Source organism: Homo sapiens, chromosome 17, assembly GCF_000001405.40.
Source record: "Homo sapiens chromosome 17, GRCh38.p14 Primary Assembly".
Lineage (NCBI taxonomy): Eukaryota > Metazoa > Chordata > Mammalia > Primates > Hominidae > Homo > Homo sapiens.
In genome coordinates, this window is record NC_000017.11 from 16,612,936 (window position 1) to 16,626,778 (window position 13,843).

A 13,843-nucleotide genomic window follows, 5' to 3' on the forward strand; every position below is an offset into this window, starting at 1 on the left:
ACAATGGAGAGATATAAAGGCCATTAAGCACATGAAAAATGTTCAAAATAATCGTCAGGGAAACGCAAAGCAAAATCACCTTGAAGCACTGCTGCATATATTAGAAAAGTTACAAAATAATTAAAAAAAAACCTGGCCGGGCTTGGTGGCTCACGCCTGTAATCTCAGCACTTTGGGAAGTCAAGGCGGGCGGATCACGAGGTCAGGAGATCAAGATCATCCTCGCCAACACGGTGAAACCCCATCTGTACTAAAAATACAAAAAATTAGCAGGGTGTGGTGGCACGCACCTATAGTCCCAGCTACTTGGGAGGCTGAGGCAGGAGAATCGCTTGAACCTGGGAGGGGGAAGTTGCAGTGAGCCAAGATCTCGCCACTGTGCTCCACTCCAGCCTGGGCAACAGAGCAAGACTCTGTCTCTCAAAACAAACAAACAAACAAAAACCTGACAATTCAGTTGGCAAGGCTGAAAGTACCTCAAACAATCATACATTGTTGGGGGGTTGTAAAATGGTACAAATACTTTGGAAAACAATTGGCAGTTTCTTATAAAGTTTTACATATATTTATCATATGAACTAGCAACTCCAAACCCAGAAATTGATGCAATATAAATGAAAAAAATATATGTCTACACAAAAAGTTGTATATGACTGTTCATAGCAGATTTATTCATCATAACCCCAAACTGGAAACAACTGTCCATCATCGAGTGAGTTAATCAGTTGTGGTCATATATTAACATAACAGTATGCTACTCAGCAATAAGAGAATGAAACACTGATACACACCATATTAACGGATCTCAAAACTTTATGTTAAGAGAAAGAAGGCAGACACAGAAGAGTATGCTGTATCATTCCATTTATATGAAAGTCTAGAAAAGATAATTCTAATCTATACTGACAAAAACTAGATTTATGATTTCTTGGAGACAGAGGTGGGAAGCATTGTCTGGGAAAGAATGCAGGAAATTTTGGGGGTGAGGAAAATGTTGTTTGATTGTGGTGGTGGCTACACAGGTGTATAAGTTTGCCAAAACTTATCAAAATGTAAAGTTAAACTGGGTACAAATTGTTATATATCATTTATGTCTCAATAAAGGTGATAAAAATCTATTTGATACAGCTAAATAGGTACTTTAAAGAAACGTATAGCGTTAAATACAATTATTAGCAAAAAAGAATTGTTGAACATTGCTTATCTAAGATTTCATTCCAAGAAGCTAGAAAAAAAACCCCAGAAAATCATATCCAAATAAAATATTTAGAAGAAAATAAAGGAGCATAAATTAGTGAAAAAGAAATTAGCTCTATAAAAGTAGGTGGGTTTTTAAAAAAAATTAAATGTTAAGTCCTAGAAAACCTAATCAAGAAAACAGAGTACATACATTACCAACACCAGGACTGAAGAAGGGAACATCACTTTAGATCCTAAAGATATTAAAAATAGAACAGATATTATAAACTATTTAAAACCAGTAATTAGATATTTTGGTGAAATTATATGGACATAATTTTTAAAAGAATTTACCAAAATGTACACAAGAGATATAAAATTTGATTAATCCTATGTCTATCAAATCATTGACTACATAGCTAAAAATTTTCCCAGGTGCTACTCTGGTAATTTTTACACACAAAATTATGGCAAAATAATACCAAAACCAATAATACCAATCTTACACATCTTACCCACACTCTTCCAGAGGACCAAAAACAAACAAAAAACCAAAAACAAAATAAAGGGAATCCTCAACTCATGTTATGAGTCCATAATTCTGATACAAAGTCAAACAAGGCTATTACAAGAAAGAAAACACAGAAGACAATATGGACATAGACATAAAATCCTATACAAAATTTTGACAAATTTAATTCAATAATATATTAAAAATATTACCCACAATGACCAAATGAAATCTATTCCAGGAATGCAAATTGCTTTAATATCTAAAAATCAATTTGTATAGATGAATCTTGAGGACATTATGCTAAGGGAAATAAGCCAGTTACCAAAGGACAAATACTGTATGATTCTACTTATATGAGGTTATCTAGATCAGTCAAATTCATAGAGACAGAAAATAGGATGGTGGTTTCCAGGGTTTAGGGGGTGAAGTGGGGAATGGAGAGTCATTGTTTAATGGGTATTCAGTTTCAGCTTTCTTTTTTATTTTGGAGATGGAGTTTCGCTCTGTCGCCCAGGCTGGAGTGCAGTGGTGCGATCTGGGCTCACTGCAAGCTCCGCCTCCCGGGTTCAGGCCATTCTCCTGCCTCAGCCTCCTGAGTAGCTGGGAATACAGGCGCCCACCACCACGCCCGGCTAATTTTTTGTATTTTTAGCAGAGATGGGGTTTCACCGTGTTAGCCAGGATGGTCTCCATCTCCTGACCTCGTGGTCTGCCCGCCTCGGCCTCCCAAAGGGCTAGGATTACAGGCATGAGCCACCGTGCCCAGCCTCAGTTTCAGCTTTCTAAGATGAAACACATTCTGGAGATGGATAGTTGCACAATATGACTTAATGGCACTGAACTGTACACATAATGGCTAGGATTATAAATTCTACGTGTATTTTATGACAATTTTTTAAATGTTTAAAATCAAACCACATAATTTAGAGTAACAGAATGAAAAACTATAATCATCTCAATAGTGGCAAAAAATGTCTGATGAAATTCAACACCCATCCTGATAACAAACCTCAGAAAAGTAATTTGAGTGATAGAGACTATCTAAAATTTACACCTCAAGTCATACCAAATGGTAAAATGTTTTGTTTTCCTTTAGATTCTGGGAAAAAGGCAAGGATGTCTACAAATCCTATTTCTGGAGGTCCTAGCCAGTGCAATAAAGCAAGAAAAAAGTGGTATGAGGATTATAAAGAATGATGTAAAACTGACTTTACCACAGATGACATACTGTGTACACAGAAAGTCAAAAAGAATGAACAATTATAAATAAGTGAATTTAGCAAGGTCACTGGATATAAGATCAACTTTAAAAAATCTATTCCATATACATATATATATATATATATATATATATATATATATATATATATGAATGAGATATACCATATACCTATATTGTGGCAACAATCAGAAAATGAAATTAAAATAATAGCATTTATACATCAAAAACATCAAATGCATAGTACTAATCTAACAAAACTTCTACAATTGAAAAAATATAGTAACTTCCTTTTTTTTTTTTAAATACCTTTTATTTTTACTCAACTTGTTAAAGGGGCAGATAAAGACTTTGGCAAATTTGATTAACAGCACAAAATAATGTTATCCAAACTGAATAATTTATTGCTGGTCTGAGGCTTGCCTTGTTTACACTAAAGTAGAATTTACGTTGTTTCCACAAATGGCAGATATCAACATTTAAAGGAATTTAATAGTGACCTATTCAATAAGGCAATCATCTTGGTAGCAAACTTCTATTTAAATCTTACATAACTCAAGCTTTATAAAAAGCCAACATAATTGAAAATTGGGTTCTCCCTCTAAAGCCTTAAGCATTCAAAGCTCAAAACAGTTAATTTAAAAATAAGCAAACAAATAAAACAACAAAAAAACCCTGCCAGCAGATCTGGCTGAAATACTTAAAACAAACAAACAAACAAACAAAAACTAAATGAGCTTAATCTTTACAAAAGTTATGTTAGCTCAAAAGCTATAAAATCATAGTTATCTTAATTCTACAAAGAAGGGAGAGGGTCTTCATGCCACCATTTCCTTAAACCTCATCTTTTTCATCCAATTTGGCCACATATCAAATTTCTGTGTGCCCCTGTTTTCAAGAGATTCCTCTTGCAGAAGAGACCAAGTATAAACATGGAAGAGTAACTGCCTAAGCAGGAAAGTGTTCCATAATAGTGTGCAGACAACAAGAGAGTTCTGAGTTAATCCCTGGAACTCGACCTGGACCTTGATCTTGACTTTGAGCGAGATCTAGAACAGGATCTTGAAGTAGCTCTTTTTGGTGGAGGGGACACAGAGCGGGCCTTTCAGGGTGGACCAGGTAGCGGCGAATTGGAACGGGACTGGCTCCTTGATCTGGATTTTGACTTTGTATGACCCTTTCCATTTTCTTTGGGGGATCCGGACCGAGACCTGCTTCGATATTTCTCATACTCATCCTTAGATCTGCTTCGAGAATGTGAATGGGAGCCCCGATCAGACTTGGGCTTAGATTTGCTCTTTGATCTAGATTTCCTGCCTTTTGATCGAGAACGTGATCGACCTTTGCTCCGCGACCTGGAACGGGAGCGACTTTTTGAGACACTTCCAGATCTACTGCGGCTGCTCCTGCGACTCCTACTTCGTGACCATCTTCTAGATCGAGACCTGGATCTGCTTCCAGAGTAAGATCGCCTATGGCTTGTGCGTGGCTTATCTTCAATAAGCCTAATATTTCTGCCATTTATTTCTGTGCCATCCAGTTTGTCCAAAGCACGCTTCATGTCAGAGTAGGAGCGAAACTCAATTACACCCTCATTTGTTCCTTCCTTGTGGGCATCCGCACAGGTTACTTAACCTGCTTGTCGCATAAAATCCTTTAAATCTCTCCAACTGCACAGACTAGAAAGATTTTCTACAATAAGCCTGTATTCTGTACGAACAGGTGGTCCGTATTTGTCTCTGCCAGATGTCTCCGACTGCTGTATCCACCTCCACCACGGCGGCTTCCGTAGCTGTAGCTGTCGCGATTGCGACGCGGGCCCCGGGCGTGCTCTACGATCACGCGCTCGCCGCAGAGCTCCTCGCTGTTCAGCTCGTAAAGGGCGTCGTCGGTGTCGCGGGAGTCCTCGAACTCCACGAAGCCGTAGCCATTTTTGAGGTCTACTTCGAGGAGGCGGCCATAGCCACTGAAAAAGCGCTGGATGGCCTTCTCCTGGACGTTGTAGCTTAGGCGTCCTATGTAGACGCGCGGCATGTCCGTGGCGGGCGGGGGCCCAAGGGCTGGTTGTGGAACGGCGGACCGCAAGCCAGTAGCCGCGGTGCGGGTGCGGGGACGGCAAGAGCCCGAACACGCGCCTCACACCATAGTGGCGGCCGAGTCCAGCCACACAATGGTTAGCAACTTCTATAATTGAAAAAATTGTTGCAAAAATATAAGAATTGCTGAAATTTTGAGGTTAGTTCCTCAGGATCCACCTGCCTCAGGTGGATCACTTGAAGTCAGGAGTTCAAGACCAGCCTAGCCAACATGGGGAAATCCCATCTCTACTAAAAAAAAAATACAAAAAATTAGCCGGGTGTGGTGGCAGGCACCTGTAAATCCCAACTACTCGGGAGGCTGAGGTTGCAGTGAGCCGAGATTGTGCCACTGCACTCCAACCTGGGTGACAAAGCAAGGATCCAACTCAAAAACAAACAACAACAAAACCAAATCCCAAAATGTTTAAAGTATCTATATAAATGAAATGTTTTGGAATACTCATAGATTAAATGTCTCAATATTCATGTTTATAACTTCACTTTTCCAGAATTAATCTATGTATCTGATGTAATGCCAACAAAATCCTAGCTTTTTGGTATGGGGTAATTGAAAAAAAAAATCATTCAACAATGTATATGAAAATGCTAAGGACCTAAAATAGTGACAATTTTGAACAAGAACAAAATTAGAAAACATACAGTTTACCCTTGAGCACAAGTTTTAACTGTGTGGGACCACTTATACATGGATTTACTTCTACCTCTGCCACTTGAGACAGCAAGACCAACCCCTCGTCGTCTTCCACCTTAGCCTGCTCAACGTGAAGACGATGAGGATAAAGATCTTGATGATGATCCACTTCTACCTAATGAATAGTAAATATATTTTCTCTCCCTTATTTTCTTAATCATATTTTTTCTCTAGCTTACGTAAGAGTACAGTATCTAATACATACACAAAATATGTGTTAATTGACTATATTATTGGTAAGGCTCCTAGTCAAACGTAGGTTATTAGTAGTTAAGTTTTTGAGGTCAAAAGTTATACAATGATTCTTTATTGTGTAAGGGGTCAGTTCTCCTAACCCCCGAATTGTTCAAAGGTCAACTGTACTATCAGTTTTCATTTAAAATATTTGGTATTGTTACAATAATAAAAGCATACAACGAGACATAGTCCAAAAGACACTAACATGCATGATCATCGGATTTATCATAAATGTTCAACTGCAAAACAAGGGAGAGAGAGGAAGATGGCCTTTTCAATAAATGATGTTGAACAAATTGCTTATTTGTATGAAAAATATTTTGACCTCTACTCCATACCATAAATATTAATTTCAGATGGATCATACACATAAAATAGTAGATATGTGGAAGAGAATGTAGAAAAATATCTTTATGACCTTGAGTTAGGAAAATATTTCTTAAACTGGGCAAAAAAGCACTAATCATAAAGAAAAGTTATTATCAAAATTAAGAACTTCTGTTCATCAAAGGACATCATTTAGAGAGTGAAAAGGTAAGCTGCAGATGAGATATGTGTAATACAAACATCTAAAAAAACCCCGTCTCCAGAATATATAAAGAATCCTACAAATGAGCAAAAATCAGTTCCCAGCTAAAAAATGGCAAAAGTCTTGAACAGGTACTTCCCAAAGAAGATATTTAAAAAGCCAACACATATCGAAAGGAGGGGCTCAACAGCATTATCCACTGAGGAAGTGCAAATTAAACCCATAATGGAATAGCGGCATGCACAAGAACCAGGCCCTGGGAGCTCACCGTGCCACTGAAACTGCTCTAGTCAGGTTGGTGTGGGTCATCCCCAACCCCTTCCCCAATGGATACTTTTCAGTTCTTTTGTCATTTGAACCTGCTGACCACATTCCTCTTCTTGAGGCGTTTGCCTCTAAGGCAGGAATGGGAGGGAGGGTTTAGATGTAGTGAGGATTCGGAGGCAGAATGGAGGGACCAACAAAGTTGGCACCATGCGATGTCAACTCTGTGACAGCAGGGCTTCTTAAAGGTCTGACTCTCAAACCTTTCAGTCAGAAAGTGGCACATTAACTATCCTCAATGAGGATTGGTCTCTTAGTAATAGTTAATGTTTCACTATTAAACTTCAATCAAAAATGGCCATTTTAACCAGAATGTCAAATTGTTCATTTATGATGGAAGATAATTCACATCAGTGTCTTTCCCAATGTTAAATACATATTTACCCTGGCATCGTGAAAGGGTATTTGATCCTCTTATCCTCCCTGAAGTGTAACTCATCATGCCTTGTTCTTTTTGGATGTCAGGTCTTTGGTCTGTTAGGGCCTTCTGGTATCAGGGACACAGCTTCTGGGTTCCCATTGTTACTCTAGGCCCCTCCTAGCAGAAGTATTTCATAGTGTTCCCAGAACTTCCAAGCCCTCATTTATAGACTTGGGAGTTATTGGCTATTTTCTCTCTCTACACTTCATCATGCAAAGTTCAGAAGCTTTACACGGCCTCTTCCATAAAGACACCTGTTGTTGCCACTGTGACCTTTTCTTTGGTGGCATGTTGAAAGTGGAACTTCTTTCTGAGGCTTGAGGTCTTCTGGTCTACAGCCTGGGCACAAGTTCCAGATATTCTTGGGCACATTTTTCATCTATCTGGAATTTCTATCACCTCCTACAAATGAAACTCAGTGGGTGGTAGGAATAAGATGCTAAGTAACTTTTTTTGGAATTTAGGTAACATCAGAACCAATTTCCATGCTCTAAGATGCATGAGCACCTCTCCCCCTCATTGTATATCCAGCACTGAGGGTAGGTCCTGGCACATTGAAGGTGTCCAATAAATAAAACGCACAACGAAAATATTTTTCCTTTTAATGTAAATATTACAGGTTCATTGCAAGGAAAAAATTAACTTAAAAACACAGAAAAGAAAGTAAAAAACAAAAAATTGATGAACCACTAAAACAGAAATAACCATCATTAATTTTTTGGAGACCATCCTTTCATCTCTCTCAAAAGTTCACATAATTACATAATATTACATTTACAGTTTTATACCATAAAGGCAGCATTTACATTTTTCTGTTTTTACAGTCTCCCCTTCCCTTATCTCTACTTCTCCTTTTCTCACTCCCCTCAAGGTAATCAATATTAACAGCCTGGTGTATATTCTTCCATACCTGTCTCCATGTGCATCTAACCACACACACACACATAAACACAAAATAAATGGGTGTGATTATTTTAACAAAAATGATATATTGTATATATACATTTGTTATAAAGCAATTATTTATCAATACATTGTGGAAATACATTGAAATCAGCTAGCATAGATATAAGTCGTTTTTAAAATTACTCTCACACTGTTCCATAATATGGGTATGTCACAATTTATCTAACCAGTTCCCTATTAATGGGCATTCACTTTGTTTGCAGTTGGGGCTTTGCCCCCCTCTACAAACAGTACTTCAACAAACATGTTTATTTACATTCTTATGCATTGATGCTGCTTTTATTTCTAACGGACAGATTCCAAAAGTGAGACTGCTGGGTCTAAGAGTATATATGTTTTAAATTTTTAAACATATATTGTTGGACTGCTGGTGGAAGTATGTTACACAACCTTTAAGTAATAGTACATGGTTTCCCAAACCCCAATAGCTAGCAAAAGATCTCTTAATTTTTGCCAGATCCATGAAGGGGAAGTTTCATCTCACTGAGCATTTCAATTTGCATTTCCCTGAGTGCTTTTTAGGTTCAAAATATTTTCACAGGATAATGATCACCTACAGTTGCTCTCCTATGAAGAACCATCCAGTCCAGAGGGATTAAAGACTTAAGTGTAAAAAATAAAATCATAAAAATCTTAAAAACACATTTAGGATACTACGTATAACCTAGGGATTAAGGAGATCTCTTTTAAGTAAAATGAGTAAAATAAAAAATCTAAAAAGGAAATGATACAAATATTTTCCTATAAAAATGTTGTGCATTACTATAAAGTATAAAGACAAATGCTAGATTAAGAAAAACATCTGCTACATAATGACAAAGGATTAATATCAAAAATATATAAAAAGCACCTCCAGGTTTATAAGAAAAGACAGATAAATGAATAGAAAAATAGGCAAATACATATATAGGCAATTAACTAAAGATAATTTGTTAAATGAGTAAAGTATGAAATCTGGATGAACACTTTCATTTGTTCATTATTTTCCTCTAGTGAGAGTTTCCTTATAACTTCTAAGATTTAATATTATTAAATGATTTCCCACATAATTGCTTATAGTTTCTCTGTATACTTTCTGATAAATTCCTAATGAAGATTTTCCTATATTCATAAAATATAGTTTATAAGATTCATCTTGTGGAGTTGACATCTAGGTGAATGACTTATTGTTCTTTATATTAACTGAGTTTCTCTTTGATGTATTCTTTGATGTACAGTAAGGCTCGAACTACTCCTGAAGGCTTTTCCACATTCATTACATTTATAGGGTTTTTCTCCAGTATGCATCCTCAAGTGTACAGTAAAGTCTGAGTTAGTTCTGAAGGCTTTTCCACATTCTTCACATTTATAGGGCCTCTCCCCAGTATGAATTCTCTGATGTAGGGTTAGCTGTGATAGAGTAATACAACCCTTTCCACATTCCTTACAGGTGTAGGGTTTTTCTCCAGTGTGTGTTCTCCAATGCACTGTAAGGTAAGAACCCCTCCTGAAGGCTTTTCCACAGACATCACACTTATAGGGCTTCTCTCCACTATGGATTTTCTGATGTTCTGTGACATGTACCATCTGGCTAAATGCTTTCCCACAGTCATTACATTTAAATGGTTTCTCTCCAGTATGTGTTCTTTGATGTGTATTAAAGCCTGAGTTACTTGTGAAAACCTTTCCACATTCATTGCATTTATAGGGCTTCTCTCCAGTATGCCTTCGTTGGTGCACGGTAAGCTGTGATGTATTAGTGAAGGCTTTCTCACATTCATTACATTTATATGGTTTTTCTCCAGTATGGGTCCTCTGATGTACAATAAGGTATGATTTAGTCCTAAAGGACTTTCCACAGTCATAACATTTATAGGGTTTCACTCCAGTATGAATTTTCTGATGCTCCTTGAGATTTACCATTTTGGTGAATGCCCTCTCGCAGTCAGTACATTTATATGGTTTCTCTCCAGTGTGAATTCTCTGATGTACAGTTAAGTGTGATTTTATTCTGAAAGACTCCCCACATTCATTGCACAGATAAGGTTTCTCTTCAGTATGAATACGCTGATGTATAATTAGAGAAGAAGAACGCATGAAGGCCTTTCCACATTCAGTACATTTATAAGGTTTCTCTCCTGTATGCATTCTGTGGTGTACAGTAAGGCATGAATAATTAATGAATGCTTTCCCACATTCATTACATTTATAGGGTTTTTCTCCTGTGTGAATTCGCTGATGTTCTGTGAAATTTGCGATGCGGTTGAATGCTTTCCCACATTCATTACATTCATAGGGTTTTTCCCCAGTGTGAGTTCTTATATGTACGATAAGGCTTGAATTACTTCTATAGGCTTTTCCACATTCGTTACATCTAAAAGGTTTCTCTCCAGTATGAATCCTCTGATGCACATTAAAAATTGTGGTATTCTTAAAAGACTTCCCACACTCGTTGCACTGATATGGTTTCTCTTCAGTGTGGGTCTTCTGATGTACACTAAGATATGACTTGTTCCTAAAGGCTTTCCCACAATCATCACATTTGTAGGGTTTCTCACCATTGTGAGTTTCCTGATGTCTTGCAAGTTTTGATTTATCACTAAAAGCTTTCCCGCATTCACTACATTTATAGGGTTTCTCTCCAGTTTGAATTCTCTGGTGCTGATTAAGACGGGCACACTGGCTAAAAGATTTCCCACACACATTACACTGATAAGGTTTCTCTTTAGTGTGAATTCTCTGATGTACCATAAGTGATGAAGAAGCAATGAAGGCCTTTCCACATTCATTACATTTATAGGGTTTTTCTCCAGTGTGGATTTTTTTGTGCTGACTGAGATATGAAGGCTGGCTGAATGTTTTCCCACATTCATTACATTCATAAGGTTTTTCTTTAGTATGAGTTCTTTGATGTTGAATGAGCAATGATCTATAATGAAAGGCCTTTTCGCATGTACTACATTTGTAGGGTTTTTCCTTATTATTGGATTTTTTCCCCAAAGTTAGTTCTGAAGTCTGCCTTATGGCTTTGCTGCCTTTCATCTCCTTGCAAATTATCTTCCCCAAATGGGTATCTGTAATCAAATTTAAATTCTCTGTGAAATTTTCCTCTTGTGTTTGGCATCTGCTGTGAAGCTCTTCTGTGGCAATGCCTGGTTCTGGAATAAGAATAGATTCAAATCTAAAGCCTCTTTGACTAGTGGGAGTCTTCTTGAGTGGAATTATTCTTTGACTCAAATGATTCTCCTGATTATTTTGTAATCTCAATATCCTATCATTCCATTTCCATAACCCTTCCATTCTGGAATCCCACAGACCATTCTCTGTAAGTTTCTCTAGTATGGCCTCCTGTGATAAATCTTCAGAAATAGCCTTTGTTCGTGTAGCCTTCTTGGTTGCAGGTTTGGGCTCCATGTCTGGGGCAAAAAAGAGAAAAATCAAGTAATTCCTTTCCTAAGCTGGGGCAATCTCACTAAACAGAATAATAAAAGCAATAAATACATGGATAATGAATATATGGTTTTAATTGCTTTCACACTGACTTGTTTTTTAGTGAGAAGAAGGTAGGGTTAAGGGAGGCTGGTTTAGCAAAAACTAAAGTAGCAAATTCAATGAAACTTTCCCGTTAAAAAAGTCCATTCAGCTGGGCACAGTGGCTCATGCCTATAATCTCAGCACTTTGGGAGGCCAAGGTGAGAGAATTGCTTGAGCTTAGGAGTTCGAGACCAGTCTGGGCAATATAGCAAAACCCTGTCTCTACAAAAAAAAAAAAAAAAAAAAAAAAAAAAAAAAAATTAGCCAGGCATGGTGGTGTGCACCTGTAGTCCCAGTTATTTGTGAGGCTGAGGTGGGAGGACTGCTTGATTCTAGGAGGTGGAGGTTGCAGTGAGCCAAGATTGTGCCACTGCATTCTACCCTGGGTGACAGAGCACGACTGTCTCAAAAAAAAAAAAAAAGCCCATTCATAGTTTAGAGCCAACTATTTTAGATGGTATTCTTCAACTTTTGACAATCTCAAAAACTGTCATACTTCCTTGCTTTCTATTTACTCCACAAACCAGACTTTAGTCCCCAATCACACTTTCTATTTGTTTTGTTTTGTTTTGGAGACAGATACTTGCTGTGCCACCCAGGCTAGAGTGCAGTGGCATGATCTCGGCTCACTGCAACCTCCACCTCCTGGGTTCAAGCAATTCTCTTGTCTCAGCCTTCCGAGTAGCCGGGACTACAGTCATGTGCCACCACGCCCGGCTCATTTTTGTATTTTTAGTAGAGACGGGGTTTCGCCATGTTGGCCAGGCTGGTCTTGAACTTCTGACCTCAGGTGATCCACCCACCTCAGCCTCCCAAAGTGCTGGGATTACAGGCCTGAGCCACCATGCCATGCCTGGCCTCTATTTGTTCTCATTTTTGATTGACTAGCTTTGTTGTGAGGGCTTTCTCAAATTCACTGGCAGAGTAGTTTATTCAAGTCTTTGTACATACCTTTTAATAAAACTTTTATGGAAAAAAAACTTTGATTTTCAAAAAGAACTGAACAACAAACTAGTCAAAAGTTAATATTTATACTTACTGATATTTCAAATAGTGGTAATTATTGTTTAATTAAGGGTAGATTTTGCAACTTTTTTATGGCCCTAAGAACATTTCTGACAGTTTGTCAAAAATTCATTAAAAAAATTACACTGTGGGATACTGGTCTTACAATGTGTTTGTGTATGCAATTTAATATTTTATTTTTAAGACACTTTAATGCCTTTTAAAACTTGTAATTCATTTTCAGGTAATTATGCCTCAATATTTAAATATAAGTTCAATAAAAACTCTTGTCCATGATAGAATGGTTTTATGATTTTTTTTTTTTTTTAATTTTTGAGGCAGTGTCTCGCTCTGTTGCTCAGGCTGGAGTACAGTGGCACAATCTCAGCTCACTGCAACCTCCACCTCCTGGGTTCAAGTGATTCTTGTGCTTCAGCTTCCGAAGTAGTTGGGATTACAGGCATGCGCCACCACATCCAGCTAATTTTTCTTATTTTTAGTAGAGAAAGCATTTTGCTATGTTGGCCAGGCTGGTCTCCATCTCCTGGCCTCAAGTGATCCACCCTCCTCGGCCTTCCAAAGTGCTGGGGTTTCAGGCGTGAGCCACTGTGCCCAGCCAATTTTATGATTTTAAAACCCACTTTTAAGCAGTATGATTTGTCTATGTTATTTTACTTTTATAAAATTTAAATTAATATTTTGTCATGCTGTTGCTATTTATCATTCTTTTACTTTTAAATAGTTTTAATTAGTTTGAGCATATTTTTTGCTGTCATAGGATATTATATTGCCAGTATCTGATAAAAAAAAAAGTTTGCTCTCAGAAAAAAAGCTATAAGGCTGGGTGTGGTGGCTCATGCCTATAATCCCAGCACTTTGGGAGGATGAGACAGGAAGACTGCTTGAGCCCAGGAGTTTAAGACCAGCTTGGGCAACACAGTGAGACCCCATCTCTATAAAAAATTAAAAATGAGCTGGGCATAGTGGCACACACTTGTAGTACTAAATACTTGGAAGGCTGAAGCTGGAGGATCCCCTGAGCCCAGGAAGTTGAGGCTGCAGTGAGCTATGATTGCATCACTGCACTACAGCCTGGGTGACAAAGTGAAACCCTGTCTCAAATAAATAAATAAATAAATGAAGGCC

General features: G+C 37.8%; 1 protein-coding gene and 1 pseudogene across 5 annotated transcripts in view; both read right to left on the minus strand.

Moving 5' to 3' along the window:
• Positions 1–1,311: 1,311 nt before the first annotated feature.
• ZNF624 (zinc finger protein 624) overlaps positions 1,312–13,843 on the minus strand; it is a 39,604-nt gene continuing 27,072 nt past the window's right edge. For 4 of the 5 annotated variants that reach the window (XM_011523970.3, NM_020787.4, XM_047436460.1 and 1 more), the window contains exon 6: positions 7,799–11,574. In XM_011523970.3, the coding sequence (XP_011522272.1) occupies positions 9,353–11,574 (2,222 nt within the window). In that variant the 3' untranslated portion in view covers positions 7,799–9,352. Of the gene's footprint in view, positions 1,434–7,798; positions 11,575–13,843 lie in introns of those variants that run through there. The other variant, XM_047436461.1, reaches the window with a different exon arrangement.
• SRSF6P2 (SRSF6 pseudogene 2) lies at positions 3,616–5,084 on the minus strand (annotated as a pseudogene).